General features: G+C 43.9%; 1 protein-coding gene and 1 long non-coding RNA gene across 5 annotated transcripts in view, besides 3 other annotated features; one reads left to right on the forward strand and one right to left on the reverse strand.

Moving 5' to 3' along the window:
• The window catches only part of UGDH (UDP-glucose 6-dehydrogenase), a 28,685-nt gene extending 17,633 nt beyond the window's left edge, over nt 1-11,052 (reverse strand). For 2 of the 4 annotated variants that reach the window (NM_001184700.2, NM_003359.4), the window contains exons 1-2: nt 10,896-11,052; nt 4,964-5,132 (exon numbers count right to left, since the gene is read on the reverse strand). In NM_001184700.2, the coding sequence (NP_001171629.1) occupies nt 4,964-5,125 (162 nt within the window). In that variant the 5' untranslated portion in view covers nt 5,126-5,132; nt 10,896-11,052. Of the gene's footprint in view, nt 1-4,963; nt 5,133-10,665 lie in introns of all 4 variants that reach the window. The other 2 variants (XM_005262667.4, NM_001184701.2) reach the window with 2 other exon arrangements.
• Nucleotides 10,767-10,946: a silencer, noted in NCBI's record as "silent region_15369". NCBI's record gives its function as "represses an Ori minimal core promoter by ATAC-STARR-seq in GM12878 lymphoblastoid cells {active_cell/tissue: GM12878}" and the evidence as "EXISTENCE:reporter gene assay evidence [ECO:0000049][PMID:35858748]".
• Nucleotides 11,197-11,496: a silencer, noted in NCBI's record as "silent region_15370". NCBI's record gives its function as "represses an Ori minimal core promoter by ATAC-STARR-seq in GM12878 lymphoblastoid cells {active_cell/tissue: GM12878}" and the evidence as "EXISTENCE:reporter gene assay evidence [ECO:0000049][PMID:35858748]".
• The window catches only part of UGDH-AS1 (UGDH antisense RNA 1), a 66,869-nt gene continuing 57,018 nt past the window's right edge, over nt 11,452-21,302 (forward strand). Inside the window, exons 1-2 of the long non-coding RNA NR_047679.1 lie at nt 11,452-11,951; nt 15,582-15,743. This is a non-coding gene — a long non-coding RNA (UGDH antisense RNA 1). The remainder of the gene's footprint in view (nt 11,952-15,581; nt 15,744-21,302) is intronic.
• Nucleotides 11,877-11,936: an enhancer, noted in NCBI's record as "active region_21460". NCBI's record gives its function as "activates an Ori minimal core promoter by ATAC-STARR-seq in GM12878 lymphoblastoid cells {active_cell/tissue: GM12878}" and the evidence as "EXISTENCE:reporter gene assay evidence [ECO:0000049][PMID:35858748]".

Raw genomic sequence — 21,302 nt, forward strand, 5'->3', positions numbered from 1 at the left:
GATAACTGTTGAAACAAGATGATGGGCACACGGAGATTCATTGTACTGTTATCTTTAATTACATGCTTGAAATCTTCCACAACAAAAAGCAAAAAGAAAACATACCTAAACCACTGAAGCTCACTCTTAGGGGAGAAACTTCAAACAATATCCATCCATAATATTATGGATGTTTAGAAAACTATGTCTATAGCAAAGTGAAAGCCCTTCAGGGGCCATAGGTCTGGCATTACATATAGAGGCAACTCCCTTTTCTCCAATGGTTCCGAGGTCTCTTAACATAAGTAATTGGAGGATGTGAAAAATGTACATATGAATTTCCATTAGTTTGATTAAAATAACAGGACAAGCAAGATATATGAACCACTACAACCATGAATATGATGTCACCAATCACAGTAATGGGTTTCCTTGGTTATTTTGGCTAGATTCTAGAAAATGAGGGAAAAGTTTTATAGAGTCAGGATTTGCAGAGAATAAAATTTAATTCAGTCCTGTGTATAATCTCCTAATATTTAAAGTTACTAAAATCAGAGCAATGCAGAATTCATATACATATAATAAAACCTCAAAATGAAGACTTACATAATTATATTAAAGCCAAAACTGATGCAGAAGCAGTTAATAATATAGGTTCTATCTGTTATTAGGTTCATTATGTAATTATCATAATTGGTATTTAGAATTTATATGGTACTTTTATTAGAAGAACTCAAATCCTTTCACAGGGTAAAATTATCCTCAGTAAAATAAAAATTTTACCCAGAAAAAAAGCAAAGCAAATTATCCATTTTTTTTTAAAGTAGTTACTACTAAATTTTTTTTTTTTTTTTTGAGACAGAGTCTCACTCTGTTGCTAGGCTGGAGTGCAGTGGCGCGATCTCGGCTCACTGCAACCTCCACCTCCTGGGTTCAAGCGATTCTCCTGCCTCAGCCTCCCAAGTAGCTGGGATTACAGGCGCGAGCCACTACACCCATCTAATTTTTTTTTGTATTTTTTTAAATACAGACGGGGTTTCACCATGTTGGCCAGGATGGTCTCGAACTTCTGACCTCAGGTGATCCACCCACCTTGGCCTCCCAAAGTGCTGGGATTACAGGTGTGAGCCACCACACCCGGCCTAAACTGTATTTTTTAAAGAACAAAGTTTAAAAAGCAATGTCTATTCAATAAACACGACAACACAAAAGGAAGTGTTTTAACTGTTAAATATTAATAGAATCTACTATTTTCTCAGTAATTCATGTAATGAGAGAAGAAAGAACATTAACAGTAAGTCAAAGCCCACTGTATGCCCTCTCCTAGTCACTACTATTCCCAAATTACCATCATGCTGAATTCTATAATCATAGATTAGTTTGCCTATTTTTGAAACTTACGCAAATGGAATTATACGGTATGTACTCCTTTGTGTCTGGCAACACTACTTTTGTAAGATTTTAACCATATTCTTAAGTGCAGGAGTAGTTTCATTGATTTTCAACACAGTACAGTATTTTGTTGCAGTATTATAAAATAATTCATGTAGCCATTCTTTTTGTTTGTTTGTTTGTTTTTTAAGACGGAGTCTCACTCTGTTACCAACGCTGGAGTGCAGTGGTGCAAACTCGGCTCACTGCAACCTCCCCCACCCAGGTTCAAGTGATTCTCCTGCCTCAGCCTCCCGAGTAGCTGGGGCTATAGGCATGTGCTACTACACCTGGCTAATTTTTGTATTATTTTAGTAGAGATGGGATTTCACCACGTTGTCAAGGCTGGTTTAGAACCCCTGACCTCAGGTGATCCGCCCACCTCAGCCTCCCAAAGTGCTGGGATTACAGGCGTGAACCACCGCACCCAGCCTCATGCATCCATTCTATTGCTGATTAATATTTAGGTTGTTCCTTCTGTCTTTTAGTGCACATATGTATGCATCTCTGTTGGATATACACTTGGAATTGCTGGATCACAGACTAATAGTTTTTTTTTATTTTTTCAAGAGACAGGGTCTCACTTTGTTGCCCAGGCTGGAGTGCAGTGGCGCCAACAGGGCTCACTGCAGCCTCAGCCTCCTGGGCTCAAGTGATTCTCTTGCCTCAACTCCTCAAGTAGCTGGGACCACAAGCACATGCCACAATGCCCAGTTAATTTTTAAATATTTTTTAGAGACAAAGTTTCACTATATTGACCAGGATGGAGTCGGCCTCCAAAAGTGCTGGGATTACAGGTGTGAGCCACCGCGGTTGGCCTTTAAAAAAAAAAAAAAAAAAGAAAAGGAACAGGGGTCTTGCAATGTTGCCCAGGCTGGGCTTGAACTCCTGGGCTCAAGCAATCCTCTCGCCCGGCCTCCCAAACTGTTGGGATTACAAGCATGAGCCACTGTGCCTGGCCTATATTTTCAGCTTTAGTAGATACTATCAAACACGTCTGCCAAGTGACTGTACCAATTGATATTCTTACCAAGCAGTGCATAAAATTCTAATTGCTAAACACTTGGTATTGTCAGTAATATCATTTTAACCATTCTGATGGGTGTCATTATTCTAATTTATTTATTTACTTATTTGGAGACAGAGTTTCATTCTGTCAACCAGGCTGGAGTATAGTGGTGCGATCTCAGCTCACTGCAACCTCTGCCTCCCAGGTTCAAGCAATTCTCTCGCCTCAGCCTCCTGAGTAGCTGGGATTACAGGCGTGAGCCACCACACCTGGCTAATTTTTGTATTTTTAGTAGAGACGAGGTTTTGCCATGTTGGCCAGGCTGGTTTCGAACTCATGACCTGAAGTGAACTGCTCACCTCGGCTTCCCAAAGTGCAGGGATTACAGGTGTGAGCCACTGTGCCTGGCCGTATTTTTTTTTTTTTAATTTGGAGATGGGAGTCTCACTATGTTGCCCAGGCTGGACTTGAAACCCTTGGCTCAAATGATCCTTCTGTCTCAGCCTCCTGAGTAGCCAGAACTACAAGGCCATGCCACCATGCCTGGCTTATTTGTGAAGACTAGAATACACTGCTGGCAGAATTCATTACTGAATGTTTGGATATAAGTATGGTTTATGGGGTTTCAAATGACTTGCAACCCTTTTATCAATATCAGCATTATAGAACTCACCATCAAGTTATCTTTCTAAAACATTTTTAAAAATTACCCTAAACCAAATATAGTAGTAATATATATATATATATTTTGAGACGAAGTCTTGCTCTGTAGCCCAGGCTGGAGTACAATGGCGTGATCTCGGCTCACTGCAACCTCTGCCTCCTGGGTACAAGCGATTCTCCTGCCTCAGCCTCCCGAGTAGCTGGGATTATAGGTGCGCACCACTGCACCCGGCTAATTTTTTGTATTTTTAGTAGAGACGGGCTTTCACCATGTTGGCCAGGCTGGTCTTAAACTCCCGACCTCAGGTAATCCGCCTGCCTTGGTCTTCCAAAGTGCTAGGATTACAGGTGTGAGCCACCGTGCCGCCAATATTTCAATCCTAAATCTGATTCAGATATAATAAGTAAATCTGTGTTTTTGAGTGACTATTAGTCTATAGATGCTTTTTCATAGATTTCCATATCTTATATTCCTATAGATAGCAGGCAGACCTATCTTAGAGATAAAACTGGATTGAGACTTTCCTTCTAAAAGTCTAAGGCAACTAAAGTCTATGGTTGATAATAGTCATAAAGAAATAAGCTTCAGCCGGGCATGGTGGCTCACACCTGTAATCCCAGCACTTTGGGAGGCCGAGGAGGGGCGATCCCCTGAGGTCAGGAGTTCAAGACCACCCTGGCCAACATGGCGAAACCTCGTCTCTACTAAAAATACAAAAATTAGCTGGGAGTGGTGGTGGGCACCTATAATTCCAGCTACTAACGAGATTGAGGCAAGAGAATCGCTTGAACACGGAAGGCAGGTGTTGCAGTGAGCTAAGTTCGGGCCATTGCACTCCAGCTTGGGCAACAAGAGTGAAACTCCGTCTCAAAAAACAAATAAAAAATAACCAAGCTTTTCTTGGGGAAAAATATAAACATATTAATGTTAGCTAGAAAATGCTACCATCAAATTTGCAAATGCTTTTCTGTTGAGTTTCAAAAGCATAATATGATGAACTCATTTTACAGTGAAATAATAAAAAAAAAGGAAACCAGATAGCTCAGTAAAATAGTTAGAAGCATATTTTTCTAAATTCTCTAAATTCACAAAATTTTGAAATTCCAGTTAAAAATATTTGTGGCACCAAACTCTAAATATGAAAGATGCCATTTGTCCATCTAATGTTTATGTGATGTTAGTAAAATAATCCAAAAATATATTAAATTTATATTAATATTATTAAAAGTTGTATTTATTTTATTTTTACAGGATACCACTTTTTAATTTTATTATAATATGGTAATGATACTAACAGACAAAATTAGGAAACAGGGAAGAAGGCCAGGTGCAGTGGCTCACGCCTGTAATCCCAGCACTTTGGGAGGCCGGGGCGGGCAGATCACCTGAGTTCAGGAGCTCAAGACCAGCCTGGCCAACATGGTGAAACCCCACCTCTACTAAAATACAAAAATTAGCTGGGTGTGGTGGTGGGCGCCTGTAATCCCAGCTACTCAAGAGGCTGAGGCAGAATTGTTTGAACCCGTGAGGTGGGTGTTGCCGTGAGCTGAGCTCGCGTCATTGCACTCCAGCCTGGGCGACAGAGGAAGACTCCGTCTCAAAAAAAAAAAAAAAAAAAAAGAAAACAGGAAAGAGAAAAAATTATCCATAATCTCACTGCACTAATACACCATTCTGATAGACTTCTTTCTGGTCATTTTTCCTACCCACATTACCCGAAGTAATGTGTTTTAATGTCCATGTGTTTTGTATCCAGATTTTTTTCATTTAATTTCTTACCAGTTGCTGTTATAGATTTTTATATTAATAGTGCATATAAATGATATAATAAAGACAGTAAGAAAAAAGCATAAAAACAAAGAGATGTTTAATATGTTTACCTCATAAATAGGAAGTGTAGGAGAATTCCACGCATTGATTCTTGATTCATTGACATCAACAACCGTTACCCTGATTTCAGGACACATATGAGCAATGACACTACATGTGGGTCCTCCAACATAGCCTGCACCGATGCAACAGATCTTCTTAATTTCAAACATGATTGTACTAGAAGGAAAACAGTAAGACTGTTCTAGTATTGAAAACAGAAAATTTAAAGAAATAATATTGTACATTAATTATACTTTATAAAAACTGTCAAGGTGACAGATATCTGGAAAGATTTCCTACATTCGCTCTGAGGAATTATGGAAATAGTGATTTAAAAAATAACATTCCAATTGGATGACCTAGCCTGTTCTCAGCTGCACTAGCATGAAACATATGGAAATAATTACAGTAACTGATATTACTGAAGGGGAGCCACAAAGATTATAATGACCTAATATTTAGAAAGTAAAGAATCAAAGTAAAACCTTCCTTAGGTCTATAATACACTAGGACAACTTTGATTGCTGAGAGAAAGCTCCAGGATGAACATACTTGTACGATTCTTGCTTAAATAAATGCTAGTGTACAAAGATGAGTTTATAACAGGTTTAGATTACGATGATATAGAATAAGATTAGTTCCACAGTCCAGAATTGGCCTCTGATGAGATTATATGCCCTACACACTACTTTGGCTTTCAAAGTTTACTTTTAGGTACTAGGCAATAATCTTAAACTCCATTTCAACTTTAATCAGAAACCATAAGGTGGTTAAAGAAAATGTAATTTCTGTAATTACCAAAGCTGTTACACAGATTTTTTTCCTTCCCAATGCCAGCAGAAAAGTGGGTTACACAGATTTTGATAGATTTTCAAAAGCATTAGGTGAACTGATTCACACTAATCAAAATGACAAGGAACTGATTTATACATAAGTATGCTCATTTATCCGTTATAATGAGAACTGTCAAACTGATCAGATTCTTAAAAGCAAAGAATGGTTTTGCCTTGCCAAGACCTCAGACATCATCTAATCTAACCCATTCACAGATTCCAAAGAGAAGGAAAATGGTAATCAGAGAGTTTAAGAATTTTTTAGTATACTCCTGTATGGATCAGAGAACGCACTCTGGAAGGCTGGCCTAATTTGAATGCCTGGCAAGAAGAATATCCCTATTATGAAAAAAGACAAATCATATAATTAAGATTATCCAATTCTTTTTGGTTTGAATCTGTATTAAACAATATTCTAAATTTTCGTTTGGTTCTCTGGATAGATTTCCCTACTAGAAGAAAATGAGCTGACTAATCCATGTAGGTATCCTGGATTGTTTGTAGCCTGTGTTAATAAACTACCAATCTGGCTTATGCATTGATCTTTAGTGGTATAGATATCAACTCATGGAGTCTGATCCCTCATGACTTTTTTTTTTTTTTTTTAATGAGACAGAGTCTTGCTCTGTCGCCAGGCTAGAGTACAATGTGACCTCGGCTCACTGCAACCTCCGTCTCCTGGGTTCAAGCAGTTCTCCTGCCTCAGCCTAACGAGTAGCTGGGACTACAGGCACACACTACCATGCCCAGCTAATTTTTGTATTTTTAGTAGAGATGGGGTTTCACCATGTTGGTCAGGATGGTCTGGATTTCTTGACCTCGTGATCCACCCGCCTCAGCCTCCAAAAGTGCTGGGATTACAGGCATGAGCCACCACGGTATTTATTTTTTTTGAGACAGAATCTCACTTTGTCACACAGGCTGAAGTGCAGTGGCACCATCTCAGCTGCACTTATTACAACCTCCGCCTCCTGGGTTTGATTCTCGTGCCTCAGCCCGCCAAGTAGCTGGGACTACAGGTGCATGCCACCACACCAGGTTAATTTTTGTATTTTTAGTAGAGACAGGGTTTTGCCATGTTGCCCAGGCTGGTCTCGAACTCCTGAGCTCATGCAATCTGCCTGCCTCAGCCTCACAAAGTGCTAGCATTACAGGCACGAGCCACTGTGCCAGGCCCCTCATGACTTTTAAAAAACAATTAAAAGAAATAGAACTTTGGTAAAATAGTAAAAATGGACAGAATTTTGAATTATATGATTCAATTAAATAGAACAGTATTCTATTTGAATCTGTATTCAAATAGTATTCTTAGCCATATGAAATAAATTTTTAAAAATTATTTATTCTGGCCAGGCACGGTGGCTCATGCCTGTAATCCCAGCACTTCGGGAGGCCGAGGAGGCTGAATCACCTGAGGTCAGGAGTTCAAGACCAGCCTGATCAACATGACAAAACCCCATCTCTACTAAAAATACAAAATTAGCGGGGCATGGTGGCACATGTCTGTAATCCCAGCTACTTGGGAGGCTGAGGCAGGAGAATCGCTTGAACCCGGGAGGCGGAGGTTGCAGTGAGCTGAGATCGTGCCATGTTGCACTCCAGCCTGGGCAACAAGCACGAAACTCCATCTCAAAAAAAAAAAAAAAAATTATTGATTCTGAATAATGTTCATATGGTTCAAAATTAAATCTGTTGTAACAAGGTACACATGAGAAGTCTCACTCCAACCCCTTCCTTATCTACTTTGCTATCCCCTACTTTGCTTCCACACAAGCAATCCGTTTTCTTGTATATCCTCCCAGCTACAAGTAAATATACATATATATTCTAATAATCTTGTCTTTCTAAATTCAATAGAATACCATATATACTATTAACACCTGGCTTTTTTCACTTAATTAAACCCAGTATATCTAGAATACCTAAAGAGTAGAATCTCAAAGTAATGTTGGACCAGAGGATCTTTTAGGGTTACCACTTAATCTCCTAGCCAAAAGGTTATTAGGGCAGCCTTTACTCTTAATCTCAACCAGGACAGGTTCTGCTAACACATTTATTAAATGTAGAATCAGTGTCTACTCGTTGCAGCTCCTGGGCTTAAGGAGTTCATAGTTTAATAAGGCACAGCCAGGCTAACAGTTATTTGCTGCTGCTCCCTGCTGTATCCTTGACTCCTAGAATAGCAGCCTCTCAATGATTATTAATTGAATGAATGAGTAACTCTCCACAAGGGCGTCTCTTTTTGAGATGAAGACTTCTGTGTAAATAGCTTTAGTTCAGATTGCCGATCATAGTATTTTTGCAGTAATTGACCAGAATACTATCAACTTTTTTTTTTTTTTTCTGACACAAGGTCTCACTCTGTTGCCCAGGCTGGAGTGCAACAGCACAATCTGGGCTCACCGCAGCCTCCGCCTCCCAGGTTCAAGTGAGTCTCCCACCTAGCCTCCCAAGTACCAAGTACCTGGGACTACAGGTGTCCGCCACCATGTCCAGCTAATGTTTGTATTTTTTCTAGAGACAGGTTTTCACCATGTGGGCCAGGCTGGTCTCAAGCTCCTGACCTCAGTTGATCCACCTGCCTCAGCCTCCCAAAGTGTTGGGATTACAGGTGTGAGCCATCGCATCTGGCCAAGTTCTTTTTTTGAGTTACCTAAAGAACTTCAGCATGTTTCCCCAGAGTTACTTCTTATCTGCCTTGATTGTGAGACCACATTTCAACTTGCTTTACATACATCAGCTGGGATAGACTACTGATGGCAGGTGAACTTGTATCACAGAACTGGATGTGTTTTACACAAGCTTTATTTTGGGTATTCTCGCCTTGCTATTTCCCATGAAATACGGCTTACCGATGACAATGGGAGAATCAATGAAAAGGCTGATGTACAATCTGTGCAAGTCCAAATAAATGCTCACTTGGAAGTTTCAATAAAATCTTCAATAAGCTTTAACATGGAGTTTGACATAGTGTTAGTGACACACTTTGCATGACACAGATGTCTGCCAACTCCATTTTCTATTTCTTTTTTCTTTTTGAGACGGAGTCTCACTGTCACCGAGGCTGGAGTGCAGTGGCACCATGTCGGCTCACTGCAACCTCCGTCTCCTGGGTTCAAGCAATTCTCCTGCCTCAGCCTCCCGAGTAGCTGGGATTACAGGTGCCCACCACCACGCCCAGCTAGTTTTTATATATTTAGTAGAGACGGGGTTTCACCATATTGGTCAGGCTGGTCTCGAACTCCTGACCTCAGGTGATCCATCCACCTTGGCCTCCCAAAGTGCTGGGATTACAGGCGTGAGCCACTGCGCCCAGCCCCATTTTCTTTTCTTTTTCTTTTTTTTTTTTGAGACGTAGTCTCGCTCAGTTGCCCAGGTTGGAGTGCAGTGGCGCAATCTCGGCTCACTGAAAGCTCTGCCTCCCAGGTTCATGCCATTCTCCTGCCTCAGCCTCCCGAGTAGCTGGGACTACAGGCGCCCGCCACTACGCCCGGCTAATTTTTTTTTGTATTTTTAGTAGAGACGGGATTTCACCATGTTAGCCAGGATGGTCTCGATCTCCTGACCTCGTGATCCGCCCGTCTCGGCCTCCCAAAGTGCTGGGATTACAGGCGTGAGCCACCACGCCCGGCCCCCATTTTCTATTTCTACTTTTATGTACCCTCTGGCCCTCTATTCTGCTGTCAGAGACATAGGAGTGTTTCCTTATTAAATGGGTTATTTTGAAATGAGTTTTTACCTCTGTATTTTGGGAGAGTCACAACAAACCAAACCGTTCCAAAACTACTCTTCATGTAAAATTTCATAAATTCAAATAAACATTCCAACCCAGAAGGGGTCACTAACAAATAACAAATGCCCTACTACAATCTAAACGGAATATAATCCTTCTAGCCCCAGCTCTCTACAGCATATTTTGCATAGGTACCCAGGAGCTAACGATGGGCATTATAGTTGGATACATCAGCTTCACACATTTTAATCATTTCCAGAAATTAAACAGTAAAAGATGCCTGACCAGAGAAAAATATTTAATCAGTAAGAAAGCCGGTATTAATTTTATGTCTAAGGGTTATCATGTAAAGCTGTGGAAGTAAACAAGAAGGAAGATGGATTATGCTTATCCAGTTATAGATTTTGTTAGAAAAAGGAGTACAGCAACGGGAGAAGAAATGAGATCTTTTCAATCAGGGTTGTCTACCCCTTACCTTAAACTGGATCCTGGCCACTAATAAGCACATCTCAGAGCAGACAGTCAGCTCTTTCATTTCCAGAACCCCCCTGAAGAAAGACTACTGTTCTCCATTTCTTAAGGGATTTGAAGAAACTCAAAGGCTCACTGTGTCTTTGAGGTCTGTCGATAGACAGCTACTGCTCTGTATGCCCATGAATAGATCCCTACCAGCGAACCCCTCTTTTCTCTATACTAGAATTCCTAACCCTACTAAGTTATCTTCCTATATATTTATAGGACGTATAATTTTTCAAGATCTCACACAAACATGGTCTCCCGAGGCACCCAGGAAAGGCCTTCCCCGACATCAAACAGAGCAATTCTGTGGTGTAGGGGGCCAACAATGGATTCCAGGACATCCCGGACAGATATCACGGCAGTCTTAGTATTTTGCTCTCAAGAGGGCTTTCTGGCTTCGTTTCTCTTTGGTTTCTTAAGAGGGGCGGCATGAGAAAAGCAGGAGCCCCTCAGGTGAGCAGACTCTTAAACACAAACAAAAGACTACGACTCTGCGGCCAAAATGAGGTCCCCAACGAGAGAACCGCTTCCTGTGGTGGGCGTTCGGCTTTGGAGGCGGCAGGGAAATCTCATCCAAGTCAGGAAAGTGGGTAAAGGCAGAAAGAGAAGGGGCTGGAAGACTCACGAGTCTTGAATAAGAAGCCCAGACGACCACATCCCCAGGACAGCAGTTCCAAAATGCGGTTCCCGCCCTAAGCCCCAAAGAGACGAAGGTCGTGAGACGGGAAGCCCGGGACCCAGCGCAGCGAGCGACCGGGAGCAGCGCGCACACCCCAGCCCCGCTCCCTCCACATCCCGCCCAGACCTGGGAGCATCCCGCCCGGGCGGCGGGGCCAGCCTGGGAGCGGCGCTTACCCACTTCCCAGCAGCAAGCGCAGGGACCGCTCCTATCCCGATCGTTCGGACAGCACCTTCCTACGGGCCGCGCCGCCGCAGCTTCTCCACCCGCGCCCCGCTCGATCTGAGCTCCCTCTCGGCGCACGCCCCTCCCTCAGGCTGCCACGCGTTACACTCTGAGTCCCGGGCCTGAGCCCGTATTTAAAGGCTTTTGCCTGCGAAGGCGGAGGCTTCATTCCCCCGCAGCCAGGCCCTCCTGGATTCTGCCCTCAGCTGCTTCCTAGCTCCCCCTCCCGCTACACAAGGCCCAGGGCCAGGTCCCTATTTCCTTCACGGCTCAGGGGCGGGGAGACTGGGGCTGGTCCTGGCTGGGAGGGCCTGCCCCGCCCCTGGCCTAGCTGGGCAAATCCGCTTTGGCCAGCTCAGCGGCTCCGCCCCTACCGCGAGCGGCGCTGGGCGGGGCTGCGTGCGTGGCGTGTCCGCTGGACCAGGGGACGGGGGCGCGCCGCAGGTGTAGGAGCTTTGCGCGCCTACCTGGCGGTCGTGGGTCGAGGAGGGGTCAAGAATTGTTGTCTAGCAGCCCTCTCCCCGCTGCCCTGTCCTGGCCGAGGCAAAGGCCGCGTGCGCTCCGCGTCTGCCAGGCTTTAGGGCTGCGCGGACACTGGGTGGGTGGTGGGCCGAGGCGACCGGAAGGTCCTGGCCGCCTTTCCGGTCTCCTCAGCACCCTGGAGCGCCGCCCTCGGGTTTCGGTCTCCTGGATCTGCGGGTCGGTCTCGGCGGGCGGATTACTCCTCGCCCACAACCTCGAGGCCCCGGGGTCAACCGCGCCCTCCGGGCCGGCAACCCAGGGTTTAGTCAGATTCCTCCTGACCCACCGCTTCTGGGAAAGAGGCGCCTCCCGTCAGGAGGATGCTGAGTTCCTCATGACTGGACCAGTGAGTGTCCACTCCCTGGTCCCTGGCGAGAGAGGCGGGACCCCCACGCCCTCCTGGCGCTCTTTGCAGAGATGTTCCTCAGGCCCAATCCGGGATTTGGGATGTCTGTGCGTGCTGTGGAGCAGAGAGTTTGCAACATGTAAGTGCCGTGCGTGAGGAAGAGTAAAATTAACCTATGGAGCCTGCTCATTTTTAATGTGGAGGGCAGTTCCGTTCCTTTCTTTCGCCGCTTCGAGGTCATTTTAACACTCAAATCTAACATATAAGAAAAAAAGCCAGGCATAATCATGGCCTTTTATTTCCCTCATTAAGGATTACATCAGGTGACATAAGCCATTTTAACATACATCATGAAGAAAGTGATTAGTAATTTATAAAGGCACATTAAAATACCATATAAATTACGGTTTTCTTGATAGGATCATGATGGTGACTTTAAGAAAGTGGTTGAATGTGGATGAAACAGTTTGCTGTGGATTGTAGCACGTGTGGCAGGATATGTAGGCTTGTTGGTTGGTTGTTTTGAGACGGAGTCTCCCTCTTGTCGCCGAGGCTGGAGTGCAGTGGTGCGATCTCGGCTCACCTCAACCTCCTCCTTCCAGATTCAAACGATTCTCCTGCCTCAGCCTCCCGAGTAGCTGGGATTACAGGCGCCCACAACCATGCCCGGCTAATTTTTATATTTTTAATAGAGACCGGGTTTTGCTATGTTGACCAGGCTGGTCTCAAACTCCTGACCTCAGGTGATCCGCCCGTCTCGGCCTCCCAAAGTGCTGGGATTACAGGTGTGAGCCACTGTGCCTGGCCAGTATATGTAGGCTTTCTGCATTCTATGCAGTTCAGTTCATTCATCCAACAAATATTTAATGCCTGTTGTGTGTCAGACGTTATCCTAAAGACTGAAGATGCAAAAGGGATTAAGACTCAATTCCTTTGGCCAGGCACGGTGGTTTACGCCTGTAATCCCAGCACTTTGGGAGGCCATAGCGGGCGGATCACCTGAGGTCAGGAGTTCCAGACCAGCCTGGCCAACATGGTGAAACCCCGGCTCCACTAAAAATACAAAAAGTTAGCCGGGTGAGGCGGTGGGCACCTGTAATCCCAGCTGCTCAGGAGGCTCCCTGTTGCAGTGAGCCGAGATCACACCACTGCCCTGCAGCCTGGGGAACAGAACGAGACACTGTCTCAGAAAAATAACCAAACAAAAAAGACTCATTTCCTTCTTGCAAAGCTCACAGGTTGGGTAGAAGAGATATGTAAACAAGTAATTGCACTAGATATGACAAGTACATCTTTTTGAACATACATAGATTTAAGTTATCTAATACAGTTTGCTTTGTAATAAAAACCACTTATCTTAGTCCCTTCATTTTGAATTCAACATTTTTCTATTTAGTATTCACCTCACATTCTTTTTTAGTATTTTGGTAGAATCAGACTCTTCAAAACGGTTAATAGGATTTCAGAAATTAAGTCAATTTTCAGTGCCAGCTAGAATGGACCTTTGGATTTAGGACAGAGGTTCTCCAAATGTGAGCTGGGGACTGTAGACAATCTCCGAGGTTCTTTCTGGGATCCATGAGGTCAAAAAGTTTTCATGTGTTACTTGCTTTTTTCACTCTTGTTCTCTCAGAAGTGTACAATGAAGTTTTGTGGAGACTATAATGTGCTATCAAAGCAAATAGAATTAAGCTGTTTTTTAAGTCAGATATTAGAGATTTACAAAAATGTAAAACAATGCCAATCTTATCTTTTGTTTTTAAAATATAGTAATTTTTCATTAAAATATGATATTTATGTTAACATGTAATGGGCTTATTGTCAATTTTAAGGAATTAATCTTTTATATATAATTTATCAGTTTTCATTTCTAATATGGTAAATACCAATAGTTACAATCCACATGAAAAAAACTTCTTTGAGTCTTCAATTTTTAAACATGCCAAGGGGTCTTGATACTACAAACTTTGAGAACTGCCAAGGTAGGCTAGTTATTTTCAAATTATGTTTCATGGAGCCCTGAATCCTCTGGTAGTGTGTCAGAAATCTGTGAGGATAGAGAATCAGTAGGAAGTTAAAGACAAGGCTCTGGGTTCCCACATCTCCCCGTCTTCTCTAATGGCAGTTCAATTTTTCTCTGTTTATCTGGTTTTTTGTTTTTTGCTTTTTGTTTTTTTTTTCTTGAGACGGAGTCTCGCTCTGTCATCCAGGCTGGAATGCAGTGGTGCAATCTTAGCTCACTGCAACCTCCACCTCCCAGGTTCAAAAGATTCTCCTGCTTAGGCCTCCCAAATAGCTGGGACTACAGGTGCGCACCACCACATCACGCTAATTTTTGTGTTTTTAGTAGAGACAGGGTTTTGCCATGTTGGCCGGGCTGGTCTCAAACTCCTGACTTCAGGTGATCCACCTGCCTTGGCTTCCCAAAGTGCTGGGATTACAGGCATGAGCCATCATGCCTGGCCTGTTTATCTGCTTTTTGTATCAATTAGGTGGAGACTCTCAAACTTCAATTCTTGACTACTGTGTACCTACAGGCTCAACACCAAGTGGAAGCTGCCAAGGCTTGGGGCTTCCACCCTCTGAAGCAATAGCCCAAGCTATGCCTCAGCCCCTTTTAGTTACAGCTGGGGCAGCTGGGACACAAGGCACCAAGTTCCTAGACTGCACACAGCAGAGGGATCCTGGGCCCGGCCCACAAAACCATTTTTTCTTCCTAAACCTCCAGGCCTGTGATGGGAGGAGCTGCCATGAAGATCTCTGACATGCCCGTTTTCCCCATTGTCTTGGTGATTAACATTCGGATCTTCCTTACTTATGCAAATTTCTACAGCTAGCTTGAATTTCTCCTCAGAAAATGAGATTTTCTTTTCTGTCATGTTGTCAGGCTGCAAATTTTCCAAACTTTTATGTTCTGTTTCCCTTAAAAACTGAATGCCTTTAACAGCACCCAAGTCACCTCTTGAATGCTTTGCTGCTTAGAAATTTCTTCTGTCAGATACCCTAAATCATCTCTCTCCAGTTCAAAGTTTCACAAATCTCTATGGCAGGGGCAAAGTGCCGCCAGCCTCTTTGCTAAAACATAACAAAAGTCACCTTTGCTCCAGTTCCCAACAAGTTCCTCATCTCCATCTGAGACCACCTGATTGGATTTCATTGTCCATATAATTATCAGCATTTTTGTCAAAGCCATTTAACAAGCCTCTAGGGAGTTCTAAACTTTCCTGCATTTTCCTGTCTTCTTCTGAGCCCTCCAGACTGTTCCAACATCTGGCTGTTAACCCAGTTCCAAAGTTGCTTCCATATTTTTGGATATCTTTTTAGCAGTGCCTCACTCTACTGGTACCAATTTACTGTGTTAGTTCTTTTTCATGCTGCTGATAAAGACATACCCAAGACTAGGAAATTTACAAAAGAAAGAGGTTTATTGGACTTACAGTTCCACATGGCTGGGGAAGCCTCATAATCATGGTGGAAGGTGAAAGTCATGTCTCACATGGCAGCAGACAAGAGAAGAGAGAACTTGTGCAGGGAAACTCTCATTTTTAAAACCATCAGATCTCATGAGACTTATTCACTATCACAAGAACAGCACGGGAAAGACCTGCCCCCATGATTCAATTATCATCTGCCGGGTCCCTCTCACAACATGTAGGAATTATGGGACCTACAAGATGAGATTTGGGTGGGGACACAGAGCCAGTCATAGTAAGGTATTGTTTGGGTAAAACATAAGCCTTTCTTTCCTTTCTTTTTTTTTTTTTTACAGGGTCTCACTTTGTCACCCAGGCTGGAATGCATTGGCATGAACACGTCTCACTGCAGCCTCAACCTCCCAGGCTGAAGTGACCCTCCAACTCTGCTTTCACAGTAGCTGTGATATGGTTTGGCTGTGTCCCCACCCACATCTCATCTTAAAACCCAGTGGGAGGTAATTGAATCATGGGGGCAAGTCTTTCCTGTGCTGTTCTTGTGATAGTGAATAAGTCTCATGAGATCTGATGGTTTTTAAAAGAGTTCTGGCTGGGCATGGTGGTGGGCACCTGTAATCCAAACTACTAGGGAGGCTGAGGCAGAGTGAATTGCTTGAACCTGGGAGAAGGAGGTTGCAGTGAGCCGAGATTGCACCGCTGCACTCCAGCCTGGGCAAAATTGAAGACTCTGTCTCCAAAAAAAAAAAAAAGGAGTTCCTCTGCATAAGCTCTCTCTCTTTGCCTGCTGCCATCCATGTAAGATGTGACTTGCTCTTCCTTGCCCTATGATTGTGAGTCTTTCCCCAGCCACGTGGAACTGTAAGTCCAAATAAACCTCTTTCTTTTGTAAATTGCCCAGTCTTGGGTATGTCTATCAGCAGCATGGAAATGGACTAATACAGTAAATTGGTACCAGTAGAGTGGGGTGTTGCTGAAAAGATACCTGAAAATGTGAAAGTGACTTTGGAACTGGGTAGCAGGCAAACATTGGAACAGTTTGGAGGGCTCAGAAGAAGACAGGAAAATGTAGGAAAGTTTGGAACTTCCTAGAGACTTGTTGAATGGCATTGACAAAAATGCTAATAGTGATACGAACAATAAGATCCAGTCTGAGGTGGTCTCAGATGGAGATGAGGAACTTGTTGGGAACTGGAGCAAAGGTGACTCTTGTTATGTTTTAGCAAAGAGACTGGTGACATTTTGCCCCTGCCCGAGAGATTTGTGGAACTTTGAACTTGAGGGAGATGATTTAGGGTATCTGGTGGAAGACATTTCTTTTTTTTTTTTTGTGACGGAGTCTTGCATTGTCGCCTGGGGTGGAGTGCAATGGTCTGATCTCAGCTTACTGGGTTCAAGCAATTCTGTCTCAGCCTCCCGAGTAGCTGGGATTACAGGCGTCCGCCACCACGCCCTTCTAATTTTTTGTATTTTTAGTAGAGACGGTTTCACTATGTTGGCCAGTGGAAGACATTTCTAAGCAGCAAAGCATTCAAGAGGTGGCTTGGGTGTTGTTAAAGGCATTCTGTTTTGACTGGGTGCGGTGGTGCACACCTATAATCCCAGCACTTTGGGAGGCCGAGGAGGGTGGATCAAGAGGTCAGGAGTTCAAGACCAGCCTGGCCAATATGGTGAAACCCTGTCTCTACTGGAAATACAAAAATTAGCTTGGCATGGTGGTGTGCGCCTGTAGTCCCAGCTTCTCGGGAGGCTGAGGCAGGAGAATCGCCTGGACCCGGGAGGTGGAGGTTCCATTGAGCCAAGATCATGCCACTGACTCCAGCCTGGGCAACAGACTGAGACTCTGTCTCAAAAAAAAAGAAAAAAAAAAAGGCATTCAGTTTTATAAGGGAAGCAGAGCATAAAAGTTTGGGAAATTTGCAGCCTGACAATGTGATAGTAAAGAAAATCCCATTTTCTGAGAGGAAATTCAAGCTGGCTGCAAAAATTTGCATAAGTACCAAGGAGCCGAATGTTAATATCCAAGACAATGGGGAAAATATCTCCCAGACATGTCAGAGGTCTTCATGGCAGCCCCTCCCATCAACAGGTCCAGAGGCCTAGGAGGAAAAAGTGGTTTTGTGGGCAGCACCCAGGGTCCCCATGCTATGTGCAGCCTAGGGACTTGGTGCCGTGCGTCTCAGCTCCTCCAGTGGTGACTGAAAGGGGCCAACATAGAGCTCGGGCTGCTGCTTCATGGGGTGGAAGTCCCAAATCTTGGCAGCTTCCATGTGGTGTTGAGCCTGCGAGTACATAGAAGTCAAGAATTGGGGTTTGGGAACCTCCATCTAGATTTCAGAAGATATATGGAAATTCCTGGATGCCCAGGCAGAAGTTTGCTGTAGGGGTGGGGCCTTCATGGAGAACCTCTGCTAGAGCAGTGCAGAAGGGAAATGTGGGGTCGGAGCCCCCACACAGAGTCCCCGCTGCGGCCCTGCCTGATGGAGCTGTGAGAAGTGGACCACCGTTCTCCAGACCCCAGAATGGTAGATCCACCGACAGCTTGCACCGTGTGCCTGGAAAAGCTGCAGACACTCAATGCCAGCCTATGAAAGCAGCCTGGAGGGAGGCTTTACCCTGCAAAGCCACAGAAGTGGAGCTGCCCAAGACCATGGGAATCCACCTCTTGCATCAGTGTGACCTGGATGTGAGACATGGAGTCAAAGGATATCATTTTGAAGCTTTAAGATTTGACTGCCCTGCTGGATTTCAGACTTGCATGGGTCCTGTAGCCCCTTTGTTTTGGCCAATTTCTCCCATTTGGAATGGCTATATTTACCCAATGCTTATACCACCATTCTATCTAGGAAGTAAATAACTTGCTTTTGATTTTACAGGCTCATAGGCAGAAGGGATTTGCCTTGTCTCAGATGAGACTTTGGACTGCGGACTTTTGAGTTAATGCTGAAATGAGTTAAGACTTCGGAGGACTATTGGGAAGGCATGATTGGTTTTGAAATGTGAGGACATGAGATTTGGGAGGGGCCAGGGGTGGAAGGATACGGTTGGGTTCTGTGTCCCCACCCAAGTCTTATCTTGTAGCTCCCATAACCCATGTGTCTTGGGAGGGACCTGGTAATTCAATCATGTGGGCTGGATGCGGTTGCTCATGCCTGTAATCCCAGCACTTTGGGAGGCCAAGGGGGAGATCACTTGCGATCAGGAGTTTGAGACCAGCCTGGCCAACATGGTGAAACCCCATCTATACTAAAAATACAAAAATTAGCCAGGCACGGTGGTGGGCACCTGTAATCCCAGCTACTTGGGAGGCTGAGGCATGAGAATCACTTGAACCTGGAGGCGGAGGTTGCAGTGAGCCGAGATCGCACCACTGCACTCCAGCCTGGGCGTCAAAGTGAAACTTAGTCTTAAAAAAAAAAAAAAAAAGAAGAATGGGAGTGGGTCTTTCCTGTGCTGTCCTCATGATAGAGAATAAGTCTTACAAGATCTGATGGTTTTAAAAATGAGAGTTATTTCTCTCTTCTCTTGTCTGCCACCATGTGAGTCATGCCTTTCACCTTCCACCATGATTGTGAGGCCTCCCCAGCCACGTGGAACTGTAAGTCCAATAAACCTCTTTCTTTTTTTTTTTTTTTTTTTTTTTTTTTGAGACGGAGTCTCACTCTGTTGCCCAGGCTGGAGTGCAGTGGCGCGATCTCGGCTCACTGCAAGCTCCGCCTCCCAGGTTCACGCCATTCTCCTGCCTCAGCCTCCCGTGTAGCAGGCATTGTCACAGGCGCCTGCCACCACACCCACCTAATTTTTTTGTATTTTTAGTAGAGACGGGGTTTCACCGTGTTAGCCAGGGTGGTATCGATCTCCTGACCTTGTGATCCGCCCACCTTGGGCTCCCAAAGTGTTGAGATTACAGGCGTAAGCCACTGCACCCGGCAATAAACCTCTTTCTTTTGTAAATTGCCCAGGTATGTCTTTATCAGCAGCATGAAAATGGACTCATACAATGATCCATTACCTAGGGTAAAATTCTCCTGAATGTCAAACAGAGATAAACTACATTTGGGTTTTGGGTAAGTCCCCTGTAATGATGAATCAAGAATCCTCAAGTCTGTCTTGCCACCCATTTAATACGTATTTTTGTTAAGGCTGAAGTTTAGAGTTAGAATCAGGACATTTTGGCCTATTGAGAGGTTCTGAATTCCAACAGAAGATGCCATGTAAATCAGTGAATTTGATTCTTTTAAAAGCAACTTACAAAATTTACAAGATGTATTCAATAAAGCAGTTTAGCTTTGGTATATCAAACCTTATAATGAACCATTTTTCCCACTTCATCTTATGCAATGTTTAATATTTTCTATTTTTGTCAAGGATATTAAACCTACACCTGGAAACATATTAAATGCCAACTTAAAATGTGAGAAGTTTGGCAGAACTCAGACCCATTCTTCCAATTTCCAAGCTGTTTAATCACACTGATTCAGACACTCTGGATAGCAGCTGGGATTGTAGTTATCTTTATGCTTTGAGCTCTCTAGTTTTGTCTACACATCTTATAAAATATCCCCTCCTCATTCTCCTCTAGCTGGAACACTAACCCAATGGATGTTGTGGTGAACTTTCTTTGACCAGGCAGAGAAGTGCAGCATTGGGTGGACCATGCACAACCAGTTTGAGAAGCACTGCTCTAGGGGTTGGGGGAGCAACAATAGAAAGAGTGTAGGTTCTGAATACCTGAAGCATACATTTTAGCTCTAGACTGCTTATATTGTTGTTACATGAAAGAGAACTTTTAATCTGGTTTAAACCACTGGATCTCTTTATTCCAGCAAGTGAATCTATATCCAACTAATATTTACTCCCAGTCTGTTCTTTCTCACCCCTCTTTCCCTTACTATAAACCTTTTCTATATCAATTTATATCATTAGTTGCTCAGCCCACAAACCAGATGTCACTTTTGTTTTCTCTTTTCCTTCCCATTCATAGCCAGGCCATCGTTGTGACTTATTGGCTGTACCTCCAAAATATATCCCAGATCTGATCTCTTCTTATAATTTGTACTGCTACAACCTTAGTCAAAGCCACTAATATCTCTTATCTGAACTCCAGTGGTTTACTAGTTTTCTGCCTCTCTTCTTGACACAATTCATCTTTCTACATAGCAGCCAGAGTAAGATAAAATCATAAATCAGATCATATAACTTCTACCCCCTGTACCAATGGCTATCTTTTATACTCAGAATAAAATCCAAAACCTTTATTTGGCTTCCAAGATCCTACAAGATAGAGACCTTACTTCTCATCTTGTACCCATCATTTGATCTTCAGTCCCTTGAAAATGCCAAGTCTATTTCCATTTCAGGGCCTTTGTGCTTGTTACTATTGTTTCTTTTCTCTTGGAAAACTGCCCAGATCTTTCCTTAGCTGAATTATTCAGATCCCAACTCAAATATCATCTCTTTAGAAAATTCTTTCAGAACCAGGTGTGGTGGTGCACACCTGTAATCTCAGCTACTCGAGTGGCTGAGGCTGATGGATTTCTTGAGCCCAGAAGTCTGAGGCCAGCCTGGGCAATATAGCAAGATCCTGTCAAAAAGAAAAAGGTATCTCACCATGATTATATTTTAATTTCCCTTCAGCAATTAGAAGTCCCTGAAATTAATTTACCTTATTTGTTGGCATTTGTTGGCATTGTGCAAGTAATGCTTGCACCCAGGAGGCAGAGTTTGCAGTGAGCTGAGATCACGCCACTGCACTCTAGCTTGGGCAATAGGGCGAGACTGAGTCTCAAAATAAATAAATAAATACATAAAATAATTTTAGAGACAGAGTCTTGCTCTGTTGCCCAGGCTGGAGTGAAGTGGTGGGATCTCGGCTTACTGCAACCTCTGCCTCCTGGGTTCAAGCGATTCTCCTGCCTCAGCCTCCTGAGTAGCTGGGATTACAGGCGTGCACCACCACGCCTGGCTAAATTTTGTATTTTTAGTAGAGATGGGGTTTTGCCGTGTTGGTCAGGCTGGTCTCGAACTCCTGACCTCTGATCTGCCCACCTCGGCCTTCC

This window comes from Homo sapiens, chromosome 4, assembly GCF_000001405.40.
Source record: "Homo sapiens chromosome 4, GRCh38.p14 Primary Assembly".
Taxonomy (NCBI): domain Eukaryota; kingdom Metazoa; phylum Chordata; class Mammalia; order Primates; family Hominidae; genus Homo; species Homo sapiens.